The 14707-nt window shown below is 34.4% G+C and overlaps 1 protein-coding gene across 92 annotated transcripts in view; it reads right to left on the reverse strand.

Annotated features, from left to right (window-relative positions):
- Positions 1 to 14707, reverse strand: part of ASPH (aspartate beta-hydroxylase) — a 214037-nt gene that overhangs the window by 158876 nt on the left and 40454 nt on the right. For 2 of the 92 annotated variants that reach the window (NM_032467.4, NM_020164.5), the window contains 2 exons: positions 8803 to 8844; positions 3387 to 6175 (listed from right to left, as the gene is read on the reverse strand). The exons of the other annotated variants lie outside the window; for them this stretch is intronic. In NM_032467.4, coding sequence (NP_115856.1) covers positions 5820 to 6175; positions 8803 to 8844 — 398 coding nt within the window. In that variant the 3' untranslated portion in view covers positions 3387 to 5819. Of the gene's footprint in view, positions 1 to 3386; positions 6176 to 8802; positions 8845 to 14707 lie in introns of those variants that run through there. 92 annotated transcript variants of the gene reach the window in all.

Consider the following 14707-nt stretch of genomic DNA (forward strand, 5'->3'; position numbering starts at 1 on the left):
AAATGAGAGGCAGACTTCTATGATGTATGCATACCTGACTTAACATGGAGCAATAAATAGATACACAAAGTGAAATCAAATGAGGCACTAAATGAGAACAAAGAAAAAAGAAATGGATGACTTTCTGCTTTGTAAGGCTTACAGAGCTCTTGCAGAAATTGATTCCTAGGTAAAAACGATAGCCAAGGAATAAACATCCAGCTTATACAATTATATTCTTAGGCAAATGGAGAAGAAAGGATAAGACACCAAAGACTGTTATTGAGGAATCTTTCAGATTAGCCCAAGCTAGGTTTTTCATGAAAATAACCTTATGGGTCTGCTACATATCACCCATCCTTTAGTTTCCTAAACACAAAAACTTTCCTTTTAAACTGAATGGGGCAAAATGGAGAGAGCTTAACAACAAAATAAACTTTATCACCTGACATCTAAATGGCAATATTTATTATCAAGTCAACATTCTCTTATATTCTTTCAATGGTCTAAAACTATTGTTGACCAATAATTGTTTGGAATGAGATCTCTCTCTTCTCCCTAGCTTTTTTTTTTTTAATTTTTAAATATAACTTCAACTTCTATTTAGATTCAAGGAGCACGTGCAAGTTTGCTGCATGGGTATATTGCGTGATATTGAAATTTAGAATATGAATGATTCCATCACTCAGGTAATGAGCATAGTATCCAATAGTTAGTTTTTCAACCCTTGTCTCCCTCCCTCTCTCCCCTCTCTAGAAGTTCTAGTGTCTCCTGTTTCCATCTTTATGCCCATGAGTACCCAATGTTTAGCTCCACAGCTTCTTATTTTGAAATACCTATTTTGGCCCATCCCATTCACCTCTCTGTATTTGGGCAGGGGGAGAAGTAGGAATGGGATGGGTAGAAAAAGGGGAAACAAACTCCATCATCTGCCTGCTTTCAGTGCATCAATTCCTCCTCCTTCTGGTAAAAACACACTAACTTCCTTAGAGGACTCCAATTTTTCTTTACCCAACAGTTTAAAAGTGGGCACTCACATATCCCAGGGTGTCACCAATCACAGCTTTCTTATCTCCCACCCCATAAGGAGTAGGGTTGAAGATGAGCACACGAGACTCTGCCCGAGAAGAAAGCCAACATTCCTGAGGGTCCATAGACAGATGGATGTTGAGAACACTGTTCAAGCACCTAGATCCAGCATAACAAAAGAAAAAAGCCAAAACTACTCCTGGGCTTTACAATTATGTGAGCCAATCCATGATTTTTGTCCATGTAAGGTATCTGAATGGATTTAACACCATGGATGTAACCAAAGAAATTCTGGAGAACATTCAGAAGTAAAACTAAATATATTCCTAATATCCCAAGGCAGAATGATAAATGCATTTTCCATAGAAACATAGTTACAATGAGAGTTGCAGAAATGGATATTAGAATTAAATCAATTTTTGTGGACCAGAGTAAAAAAAAAATCTCTGAAGACCATAAAATCTCATCTATGGAAAAATGTGTTCTGAATACAAAACAAACATAAGTTTTTCACAATTAGGCTGGTTATTAGGCTTCTCGATTGTACCATATACTTAAGGCTATAGTTTATTTCATAACTTTTTTTCTAGCCTTCATATCTTGTGTTTTCAGGTTGTCACAATATTCTTTTAAAAATTAAGCATTCTTACGGCTTCACTCATGTGCAACATTTATAATTATTTGCATTTGCCCCCTCAATGATCTCAATAGAATAAATCAGGCTCCACTATACTCATTTCACAAAGACACATTCATTACAAAGGATAAAGGACTGAAATATTTGTTTTGCAATCTGTTGACCTAAGTAGGAATAGGAAGCACAGTTTCAGTGCTTCCAAGTTTTTAACCCCTGACTGAGACGTTTTGGTTGAGTATTACTATTCTTATTCTACCAATGATAAAGGGAAACTGAATGCCCAACCATGTGCTGGCTGTTTACACATATGCAACATTGACTGGTTCTCACAACCACCTTGAGGAATAGGCATTGTCTTCAATTTACAAATGAGGAAAACAACCATTTCCAAGGTGCATTTTACAATGGAATATTCTGAGCAATCGATTTTGAGAATTATTACCAGTGGGCATTAACAGGAGAAGAAATAATTGAGGACACAGGAGAAAGAAATCAATGTCAGGAGATAGAGCCTAAGTCACCAGATCCATTTCATGGACAGTAACATGACAGTTAACTTAAAACATTTCAAATTACAAATGACACTTGTTTACTTCTTTTCTTTTTCAATGGAAGTGTCTATGGGGAATCTTTATTATCCAAGTATCATTATGAGGACCTCTGAAGTTACAAACTTGCATAGCTAAGCAGGTCATAATACAAAATATTCTCAATAAAGCAACCACCTACAGAATTAACTTAAGTAGTCCTCTGGATTAATTCAAGTGTTCATGCTGATTGATTTATGTCAATTTCATCAGTCTCTCATTGTGAAATTTTGAGACGATCATCTATATACAATGCAAATTACCTATAAAATAAAATTGAAAGACTTGTTTAAAAAAAAAATTCAAAAGAGTGGCTACCAATGACGTTAGGAATAACTAAAATTCATTCACATACGAAGCCATTAGAAAATGAAACAGAAATTAGATGACACAACAAATGACCAAAAATTTGATGATGATGTAAGTGCTTCAAAAGGAAGTATCTAAATATTAAAGGATAGAAGATCATCCTGGAAAAATTGATTAGCACTCAAATATTTTCACAAAATTGACTATCTCTTAACAATGATTTTGCTACTAAAATGTGAAATGTTATCTTTTTCTTACAAAGTTTAAGAAAAATATGCCAATAATGTCATTTAAAAGATTTGTAATCAAGTCACAATATAATTTAAATAAAATGTTGTTAGGGGTATGGCAAAATAAACTTACATTTTTAGTACTTAATTTTCCCTTTTCAGGTCTTCCCGAAAACAGCTTCTGACTCCCAACTACCTAGTATTGTGAATTTTTTGTCCCGTTGTAGCTGGCTTATTTAAAAAGGTAACCTTTCTGGTTTTAATTATACTTAGAAAACAATATGAAGCAAACAATACAGAAATAACAACCTACTGAATAAAAAGTGTAAAACTGAGAGTGCAATGCATGATTTTAACCCTCTAATCATGACTGAAAGCTTGTTTTTAGTTGAAGCTTAAATATTACGCAGTTGGATAAAGTGTGACTTCAACTTCAATAAAAGTTAGTTGAAACATTTACAAAAAGAAAGAAAAGAGAAGGGGAAAAGAAGAGAGATGGGAAAAAATAAATCAAGTTCTAGTCTACAAGTGCTTTTAAAGGATCTTTAAATGTTTTAGTTGAGGTGTTTCAATTCTTGAGCTAACAGTCAAAGGAAAAATCAATGAGATAGCCAAAACATTTCAAAGTACTTTACTAAATAGCAATAGACAATTCTTATGTGCTTTTGATGATTAGGTTATTCCAAAATATTTTCACTCATTTGTTTAGAATTTAGTATTTATGTATTTTCTGCCACATAGCCATTGAACTTAAAAACTAAGGTAAAAATTACCAGAATGCTCTCAACAAATTCACTTATAATTGTTTGCCCTTCTTCAAGAGAGAACAAAAAATCTTTAGTGAAGACAGCACTTAAAATTTTGTACATAAGTTTTAAAAAAACATTCCATTTATCTCAGGAGAAAAGATCTAACACGGGGATATGGTTTGAGAATCGTGTAACTTTCATATGCCTGGGGGACATGTTCTGCTTCTTCTTCTGTCCAGTTTTCAAAGCCTCACTTTCTTGTCCCAGAAGCCCTACATTTGATGAAGTTTGAGTGGGACCCACTCAACTCCCATTCCAAAGCTTTGTGCACAGGTGTGCGCCTGGGAAGAATCACCATCCTCAACTACAAAAATGGTCCCAGATGTTCACCAGGCCTAACCAGGCCAACTGGAATTATCTCTCCCAGAGCCATCTGCATTGGGATTGGTAAACTAGAGACTGGTCTGGAGCCTGCTGAGGGCCATCTTGGTTATCAAGTGGTAGCATCTCCAAATAGAATAACTCAGGCAGAAACCAGCACAGTTAAGACTTAGGAAGTGAGCTAAGAGGAAAAAGAACTCTGATTCCAGGTCTAGACTTGGGATCTAGTCATCTGAAGTTAGTGCCCTGTATCTGCCAAACAAAGCAGCTGTAGAATTCCCTTTTTGGTTTACAATGTTCTTGTAATGTGTAAAAATGGCAAAATCCTGACTAATCAAAACATAAAACTCGAAGTTATCAGGTTACAATATCTTCAGGCCTTAATTTTTAAGCAATAAAATAACAGGATTATATTGGAGATATTAGATATTCTCTAGGATTTCTTCTCTGTTGTATAATTCTATTGAGTTGAAGTTTCTGTCAACTAAATGTCGTAAAGTATTTGACTTTAAATAGTAAAAGGCGTTAACCTAAGAAAAAGGTGTACAATACATTTAGAAATATTTACACTTAAACATACTCATTTCTGAGTTGAAATATCTTTAATTAGATCAAAAATCTCGTTTTTAAGATCTTCATAAAAAAGTAAATAAATATGTTTTAAAAAATAAAATCTTAGTGGTAGCATTTTTGATTCTGTTGTTAATAAGGTTAACATTAAGAGAATCAAAAATGCTACCACAGAGATTTTATCATTATCAACTAACTGCATTTCACAGTAGTCACAATTAGATATTTAATATTTGAGGCACAGAATAGTACAAACCATTTGTAGAATTAATTTCTCACTAAAACTTCACTTTTATATTAAATGTTTTCTAAGGTGCTAAATTCTGATCTCTAGTGAAGAGATTACATTTGCAATTCCTTAGAAATGGTAAATAATAATGACACAATCAAATATGAAAAATGTATGCCATTCAACCAAAATAATGGAAAAAAAGTGTGATATAAAATGAAAGTACATTCTAATCTGAAATAATTAAAACCTTTCTATAGTTATTCTAAGACTATAAAGGTATCATAAATAAAAGTGTTCTGAAACTGTTCTTCTAAATACAATTCTCCCCTTTATTCATGGCTATGGCCACAGTTCTCGGAGCAGTGTATGTGGCACATGGTAAGCACTAAGTATGTACTGGATGATGGGAGAAGGGTGAGGTTGTTGTAGGGAGGTCAGGAGTGAGAAGCATGCAGGAGTGAGGGGCAGCGGTGAGGTGAGGAGTGAAGGAAAGGAGAGAGTAAAAGACTTGGGGAGGGAGACTAGAAAAGGGGAGATAAGAGGGAAAAGGGGAAGGAGAACCCATGAAAAGCCTGAGGAACGGCCCCCTGAAAGGCTGCGGGAGGGCTGGGAGGGCTGGAGAGGAGGGAAGGTGGTGGCACATGAGCCTGGGGAGGTGTCCACGAAAGAGAAAAACAGGGAAGCAGGAAGGGGAAGGAGGGAAGAAAACAACGAGCAAATCCATCTCCCTGAGTATTTAGCATACTTGAAAAAGTTACAAGGCATTATGCACAGAAATAACATTTAAAATCTTAATATTCTTATTTAACGTCAATGAAAGTATTCAATATATTAATCCATAAAAATTCATGATACATATACATTTATCTGAATACATGATCAATAAATAGAAGTTATTACATCATATTCTATGACATTTTTAAAATGTTTTTACATTTAGAAGTATGAGACGGTATATTTAAATTTCAGGTAATTTACTTGCTAAGCACCAATGATACATTCAATGGCTAATTTACACACCCTCACCAATCAGAGCAATATTACATTTTCCATGCTTTTTTGTAACAAACTGCAATCTGGAACATGACCATGTTCTGGGATGATGATGCCAGAGCTTTAGCCGTTTCTTTTCTGGGTATTTCCCTTTGTTAAGTGTGCATATCTGGTAGAACTTCTACTTTCCTTTCTGTCATCTTTGTCTCGGGATGCCATTTTACTAGAAACATCCTTCATATTTGTTGATTTTTTCCTATTTTCCTTGGTTTTAGCACTTTTTTCTAGGTCCACTTTCTCTTTTTCTCTGTCCTTTTTACCCTTAGGAGACTCCTTCCTGGATAGGTCTGCATCAGCAATTTTCTTATCCTTTCGGACATCCTCTTTCTTCCCCTTTTTTCTCTCTTCATTCTTACTTTCCTTCCTTGACTCAGGTTTCTCTTTCTCCTTCTTGAGCTCTTCTTTAGTGAGTTCTTTAACTTTCAGATTTTCCAATTAAAGGAAAAAATGTTTATTGACAGGATCTCTTAATCACAGAACAGGAAGTTAGTGAAAAGGTATTCTCTTTTTATCTCTCCACACACAGGAAATGCACATTCAGAAAGTTACTTTAATTCACTAGTCTTTATGGTGGCTAAAAATAGGTGCAAATCTCTATCAAATATCAACTATTAAAAAATGCTAGAAGCTTGTCATATTTTCCATCTTGAAATATAGTATGACTTGTCTTAAAACATTAACATGCAATATTATAAAATTGAGGGCACCACGAAGGCAGTGCTTTGCACAAAGTATTAACTCACACTTTGTAACTATAATTAAAGGAACACTGGCAACGTAAGAACAAATTTTTCATAATTTGTAAGAATATATACAAAGATAATTTAAAATGTTTAGCTCAAAAACATATGTCCTTAAAATACACGTGCTTCTTTGAAGACAAATATATGTAAATAAAATTAAATATAATTTCATTTTATTAGTTAACTAGGAAAAAATTGTCATGTGTATGACATTTTTAAATCATTATCTGTAGTATTTAAAAGGAAAAATTAGAATTCTCTTTCTGCTTATATTCATCATGAAATCAGTATTCCTTTAAGTATGTTTCCCTGTTAATTCATGTAGAGCAACTCAAGCTAACACACGTCTTCTAGTTCATTGGGTTGAGAGAGCAATTAAATGAAACACACAGCTAATTCCAAATCTCATGGAAGGTATTGCTTTCAACTTGCTTTACATGGTAATAAAGCAGTTAGCAAAAGCTCTGAATTTCATCTGTTTGTACTCTCATAAGGAAATCATAAGGTAAGGTGTTTGCAATGCCACATTTAAGCAGAAGCAATGCCACATTTAAGCAGAAACAAAGAAAATGAAATATTTCTTTAATATAATAAAATGTGAAAGATGTTTTTGCCCATCAAAATCACATAAAACTTACATAGCACAAATGGTATTCAAAATGAGCATTAGATTTGCAGTGCTCACTAAAAGCACTATGTCTTTCTAGGCTGTCTAATAAAATCTTGATTAACAAACAAAAACACCACATAGGGTTTCTCCATTAACTGAATTTCCTGGTGATCAACCAGGAGATTCTTCAGTTCTTCCTAAAAAACCTTATTACAGTCTTTTAAGAATACAGAATAGTATTCATTCAGGATCATGCTGAGTCTTCATTCTACTTCAATGCGTTTGGACAGTAACATAGATACTGGCATTGCAAAAGTGTAAAATGGATGTGCAATGCTATCATGTCTTATTCTGAAAACTGCTTTTAAAAAATTCAGTCTTTAATGTTTAATTTGCTTCTCTAGATCAAGAAGTAAAATATTTTATTGTCCATTTGTTTCATCATTATTTATATAAAAATAAGATGGTGAAAATTGTTTTCATCCCCAGAAATTATTCAGAAGAGATAGGAGGTTAAACCATTAAAAGTTCCTGATCTTAAAATATAAATCACAAAACCCTGTGAATCACATAGTAAGTCTCATCTGTTCATATTTCACCAAAAAAACAAACTACAAACAATATGCCAAGCCCGTGAAATGACCACAAGAATATCACAGGCTTATAAAGAAAAACAGGCTTATATAGAGGCATGCACATCCCCCATGCCTCTACCCACAAAGAATATGACTACTAACATATGAACAAGAATAACCACTGGCATATAAAGTCAGGCTGTAATACTGAGCTGTTAGTCTACAAATGGCTGACAGGTATAATAACTTATTTATTATTATTATTATTATTTTGAGAGTCTCACTCTGTTGCCCAGGCTGGAGTGCAATGGCACAATCTCAGCTCACTGCAACCTCTGCCTCCCGGGTTCAAGCGATTCTTCTGCCTCAGCCTCCTGAGTAGGTGGGATTACAGGTGCCTGCCACCAAGTCCAGCCAATTTTTGTATTTTCAGTTGAGACAGGGTTTCACCATATTGCTCAGGCTAGTCTCGAATTCCTGACCTCGTGATCCACCCGCCTCAGCTTCCCAAAGGGCTGGGATTACAGGCGTGAGCCACCGTGCCCGGACAATAATTTTTAATGAATTAAAATATCAAACACAGTAAATTCTATGTCAATGTAATGTAGGGTTATACATTTACATCCAAGTTTTCATTTTACTGAAAACTACACATTTGAATCACACTAGCTTTCACTGTGCTCTAAGACAGAGTGTCATGAGAGCTTTTGGAGAAATAAAAACAATTACTGAAGACTTCATCTTTTTTTCCCAAAAGTAATTCAAAAAAATCAAAGTAAGAAAGGTTTTAGGGAACAAGGTAAGATGTGTACATGTAAATTTAATATATACATCATAACAAATATAACATATTTGTATAATATATACATTCTTAATTTAAAGACTATTACAAAGCTTTGATAACATGAAAAGATAATGACTTAAAATTATAGGCTTGAAGCAGAAAATCCTTTGATGAAATCTTGATAAAACTACTTATAACCTAAGTTGCACCCAAGCAAGACCCAAAAGCAATAGTGTTTAGCATTAGTAGCAATATTAACATTCCCAGAAAATGTCATGCATTTTCAAACATTAAACTTGATTCACTCAAGGCTAATTTGAAAAAATGAAAATACCTTTAGCCTTAGTTTTTCTCTTGGCTACCCCACTGGGTCCTTCTGTTGACATTTACAAGATGAAAATAGGTTATAAACAGAAAATTTAAGGGAATTCAAAAATAAGTGTCTATTAAATAGGTAAAATCAATGCCACTATAAAATATGTTAAGTTAGTTAAATTCATCATTAAAAAATACTCCAATATCTCTCTTATTTGTCACTTTAAAGCTTTCCTTTCACTATCTTTAACATATAAATGCATTATAATCAGCCTATGATTTAACCAACTTCACAATTTGGCTTAGATCTTTAAGAATTGTTGGCATTAGAAATACTTAATTGCCACTGGAAATTGCATTTTCTACTCAGTGGTAGACTTCCGCTTGGGTCACAGATGATCAATTAAAAATACTAGAGTGAAGGACCAAGGACCTTACTTCACTACTCAATCACACTTGCCATCCAAAAAAGGATAGCATATTTTGATAGAGTTCATCTTTACTGTTTGAACAATCACTGCTCTTCCACCAGTTCGCACTGTCTTTTAAAAAATTATACAAGCAAGTAAGAATGACAGTATTATGTACATACATTTTACATTTTTCACCCACTCTAAAAACTTTGCAATAGCTTTCTATTTCCTCTCTTGGCAAATGAAAGTTCTGATAATAGATTTATTTTTGAGTCTCTAACAATATACCTCTAACTCTTATTCCAACCAGGCTGTACTTAGCATCCCAATGAACTGATCTTCCCAATTCTCTCTCTCAGTCACATAAAGGCTGGTTTATGCTATGTATTGGCAAACTTTGTAAAGTTCCAATCCATTTCTTAGGCACATTAGGGTTGGAGGTGCAATGTAGTGTTCATCTCCTCAGGAAGGGTGGCCTTTAGCCTGTCACTAAAGAACGAAGGTCTAAGGTGTGGTCACAAGAAAGTCCCCAAAGCCATCTGACATTTTTGCAGCTGTAAATTGTAAAACCCACTTTGTACGTTTCTCAAAACTTCTACTTTCAGTATTAGATGTCTGTTCTATTATATTGTTCAAACCTCCCCTTTCACTATTGATAGCAATTTGTATCTATCAATTGAGGTCATCCATTCGAGAATGGTAATTTATTTTGGTTGAAATATCAATATTCTTCAAAAATGTTATTAGTATCTCTTACCACTGACAACATAAAAATGGAAACGTGACCATGGTTATATTTGTCCACTTATATGAAATACATAGGTAACCATAACCAGTACTTATTCCCATGTGTTTAAAAATTATTTTTCCCAGACAAAACTTGATTCTTTCCTAACCTCTGCCAAAAACAGTGTATAACCCAGCAATAATGAGTGCTATTTCCAATCACTCTCCACTAAAGTTTATTTCAGAATAAAATATCAAAACTATTCTCATAATACCCACTTTTAAATATGAGTAGTATCTAAGGTGTAAAACACATTAGCATAAAACATTAAAATATACTTCTAGTACCGCTATGTTCCCCTCCTGACTCCTACATGTTCTCCCACAGCAGAACCAGATTTTCCTATTAAAACGTAGAGTGAGGAAACCCAGACTGCCCTCTCCCTACCCCCACTGTTATGATCTAGGTAAAAAGAGCTATATGGATGAAAAGACTAGAGTTAACTTTTGTCATGAATAAACCAAAATATTAGATTAGCATCAGATTAGTGAAACATATAAAAATAAACAGTGCTGTGCTTTATTTTAAACTTTTTTGGTTTGGGTATAAATCCTTATAGTGATAGAAATGAACACATGAACAAAGTGCAATGCATGATATAAAACTCCAAAGGATCATCTTATGCTTTTCTGAACTTAAAAACATAGCCAATAATTTTTCAATATTTTTGACATAAAAAGGACCAAGCTAATAATTTAAACAATTATTACATTCAGTTTCTGAAGAAAAGTATATAGACATGAAAAAAGTATACCACCAAAAACAGTTAACAAGAGTCCCTAAGTAACAATGAAACAAAAAGAGAGTAAAGAAAAAAAAATTTTTTTTTGTATCCCAGAACTTAAAATAAAATGAAATTAAATTTTTTAAAAAAGGAAATGTGTTTGTTTGTTTTTTTTTTAAAGTGAAATGATCAGTTTTAGGAAGGAAGACATGAACAAAGGTTTAGGATGAGGGCACTATTTTATTATGTTACTTACTAAATATCCTCTAAGGTTCTTCAGAATACAGTTTTACAAGCAGTAGAGAAGGCAGTCATGCCACAGTGATGAGAAAACATAGGTGGAAGGAAAGGTGACCAAAAATCTAGGGTGCTCACATCAGCCTTCCTCATTTCCTTAGAAGAAAACTGATCATACATGGAATTTCCCTAGATTCTGAGGGGAACAGAAAAGGAAAAAGTTTGAAGAATTTTATCCGGGTTTTGTTTTGAAGGTCGAGGAAACGCAGGCATGTCTGTAAGAAAAAGAAGCTAAGTTCATAACAGGAGAGAGGTGATGAGGTCAGGAGGATGTACAGGCTCAAGGGAAAGGGCTAGCTTTGGAAACCAGAGGATGCAGTGTCTGAAAAAAAAAGGTGAGTGAATGAGACAAGAAACAATAGCTCAAAAAAATCCTGAGATAGTAATGTTGTAAAGGGAAGAGAGAAGAAAATAATGGAATGAAGCCACACTAGATTATCTTAGGAAAGCAGAAAGCAAAATCATCTCTACAGAGGAATAAAATGACCCTGGAAGAAGGAAGGTTGTGGAAAAGTTTAGAATGACTGCTAACAAGGGAAACTGTTGGAGCAGCATGCCCCCGACAGAGGCTCAGTACAGGTAACTTTATAACAGATTTTTTTTTCCCAGCAACAATGGGAAATACAGTAATGGAGAAAGGGGTCAGTGGTAATCCAAGATTAGTGACAGCACGTAGAGGGGAAAAAATATTAGTTTGCGGGCATTAGAGAAGTGGACTTAAGGGAAAACCACAAGGCAGGTACGAAAGGCCCACCTTTCTATTCTTCCTAATTCTTGACAGAATTAAATTCTTATCATTTGCAACTTTGGTTGATGTAGATTCTCCCTACAGTGCCAAAATGCCACAAGCATGCACTACTTTTCTCCTTTTCTATCTTTAGTACCATAGCTAATGTCTAGGGAAAAAAAAGAAAAAAGGGAACATTCCACTAATCAATAAAATTCATGACAACACAAAGGCTCTTCAAAAATAGTTTCCAAGTAGTAGGAAGAAAATTCTATCAATTCGAGCAAAAATGGAAACATCTTGGTATTTCTTAATCCATTCAGACAAAAGTTGTTTTTAATTAATAGAATATATTCCAATTTAAGAAATAATCAAAGCAGCATTAGGATGTGCTTAAAATACATGCTGAAAAACAACTGCCATGCTATTTATTTTCTTTTCGTCCTTTTATACTTATTTTGATGTAAGTATTTAAAGTGATGATAGTTAATAGCTCTGGCAACTATTTGGGAATTCTTATACAGAAATTAGAAAAAAGATCTTACATTCTTCCCTTAGAACGTAAGAGAGTTGCCTAAAGGAAATTTATGCTATTTTGGCAACTGCCTCAGGCCATTATTCTACATTTTCAAAATCAAATGTTCTCTATGAAATTAAAATGTTTGAACCATTAAGCCAATGGATAGATCTGTGGTTACACCACATGCAATAGACATGATTTTAGAAGACTGGCTGCATTACAGATACACAAGTAGCTACTTCAGACTTTCAGACAGCTCTAGAATTGGTCTGGATATCACTTCATACTCAGGTCACTTCAGCCACTCTCACCATTTCTAGTGAGACCTGTGAGTCACTGTAAGCCTTCTCATCTTCCTCCGTCCCATACTGGAACATCGTAATCATTTCAACATTGACTACAAATAGCAAAAAGAGGCCCTAAATGTCTGAGTAACCATCCTGTTAGCGAGACAGACTGTTCCTCTAGAATGGATGTCTACTCTTAGTAAAATGCATGTCAGGACACTACACCAATTGCTTTTTTATTTTTAAATAGATGTAATAATATAGTACAGATTAAAAAAAGAAGAAGAAAAAGCTACAAACCCACCAACCCTCTACAGTAAGTGGGGAACGGAGGATCAGAACATAAGAAAACTGAAAGACTAAATAAGCAGAAAGGGATTACATCCAGAGACAGAGAAAAAAAGGTAAAATGCAGATTCAAATACAAATTGGAGATTGGAAAGGTCACCTGAAGACTTTTGTTAGCATAGGTTTGTTATAGAAACTCAAAATGTCATTTCTATTGCAAAAAATATGTCCAATAATTTTACCACTTATTTAAACCAGTTTTTTTTAAAAAAAAAAAACTCAGTATTTTATTATGCAAGGAGTAACTCCTCATCCTTCAGGACCCACACCAGCATATGACATTATTCATATGATATTAATGAATATCACATGCAAGGCTTAGCATTGAAGGAGAATTCAAATAAAACCGAAGATCTGGTTCCTAGTTTCAAGGAGTCCACAAACTACTTAATATCTAACTCCTAAGTATTACAGGGTCATCTCAACAAATAACAAAGGCAGTGAATTCTGAATACTGGTTCCATCATTTAACTTATGAAAATAAAGTCTGGGTCACTGAGTTTCTTTAAGCATTCCAAATATGCATTGTGATCAAAGATTCCACAGCCAAATCACAGAAAATTTCTTGTATGTTTTATAGACTTAAGGAGCTAGCCCAGCGGATTATTTAGAAAGGGTCATGGAGCATCAATTCCCAAAAAGTTAACTGTCAAGTGACCAAATTAAGAATAACTGGCTGTGCTAGATCTAATTTTTTGATAATTATCCAAAGTCACAAACATCAAGGTAGACAATCTGTTCTATCTAACTAAATAAAAATAATTCAAACAGAAAATAGTCCCTCTTTCATGTCTGGATACAGCTCTATAAGACAGGGAGGTAATTTCTAGAATAAAGAAAGAATCAAGGACAAGATGAAAATGCAGGACAGCCCACTATTCCATATGTCCTCAGCACCGAGGCGTCTGCAGGATCCCCAGGGCAGCAGGCTGACAGCCAGGCCTCAGGACTGGGTAAAATTGGCACCCAGAAGACACTTCCCCTACTGACTTATACCCACCACTCATGTCCCAAAGCAAGGCAGGCTGAAGGAAGCTAAAGGGCTGAAAAGAATCCCCAGAGTGCTGCTGTCTTGTTTTCGTGCCAAACTCCGGAGAACCCAGCGTCTTTGCAATCGGACAAATGTCAGCACATCCGAATAAGCCAGAACAGTGACTCTGAGGAGACAACACTATATCTCAACACGAAGCCTGTTCCACAGAGTTTCTCAACTCTGAAAAGGTAAAGTAAATACAGTATAACTTAAAATTCCATAACTATATAAACATTCAAATTAATGGGATATGATTTTGCCTTAATTTAGTTCTTAAGTTTAAAAGACATGAGGTAGGAAAAGACTTATATTATGAAACAAAGTCAGAAAATACACGCTTAGAAAATTAAGAATTTTAGCAATACATAATAAATCAAACTAAGGTGAAGTAATTTTGATCAGCTTTGAGATACTTTATAGTGCAGTTTATAGTGCAGAGATAAAATAAAATACCTTTATTTTATCTCTCTCACACACACACACACACAAGCCTTAGGCACAAGTTGACGGAAGTCACAGAAGTCAGGGGTTCGTCAGCTACCTGGGTGTCACCTTCATCAGAGGCTTTCAGAGGAACTAATGAGAGGTGGTACAAAATAAGTAGCAAATTTTTATCCCACATTCTTGTTTTTCACTTACAAAAATAAAGCATAATTAATTTCTGTACATAAAATATGCATTAGTAGGGCAAATAAAGCCTGATGAAAAATTAGTAATTTCAAATATTTTTAACACAAAATTTAATCATTTACTTCTTATCAATTAATCGAATATCTTCTAGTGTTAGT

This window comes from Homo sapiens, chromosome 8 (assembly GCF_000001405.40).
Source record: "Homo sapiens chromosome 8, GRCh38.p14 Primary Assembly".
NCBI classification, from domain to species: Eukaryota; Metazoa; Chordata; class Mammalia; order Primates; family Hominidae; genus Homo; species Homo sapiens.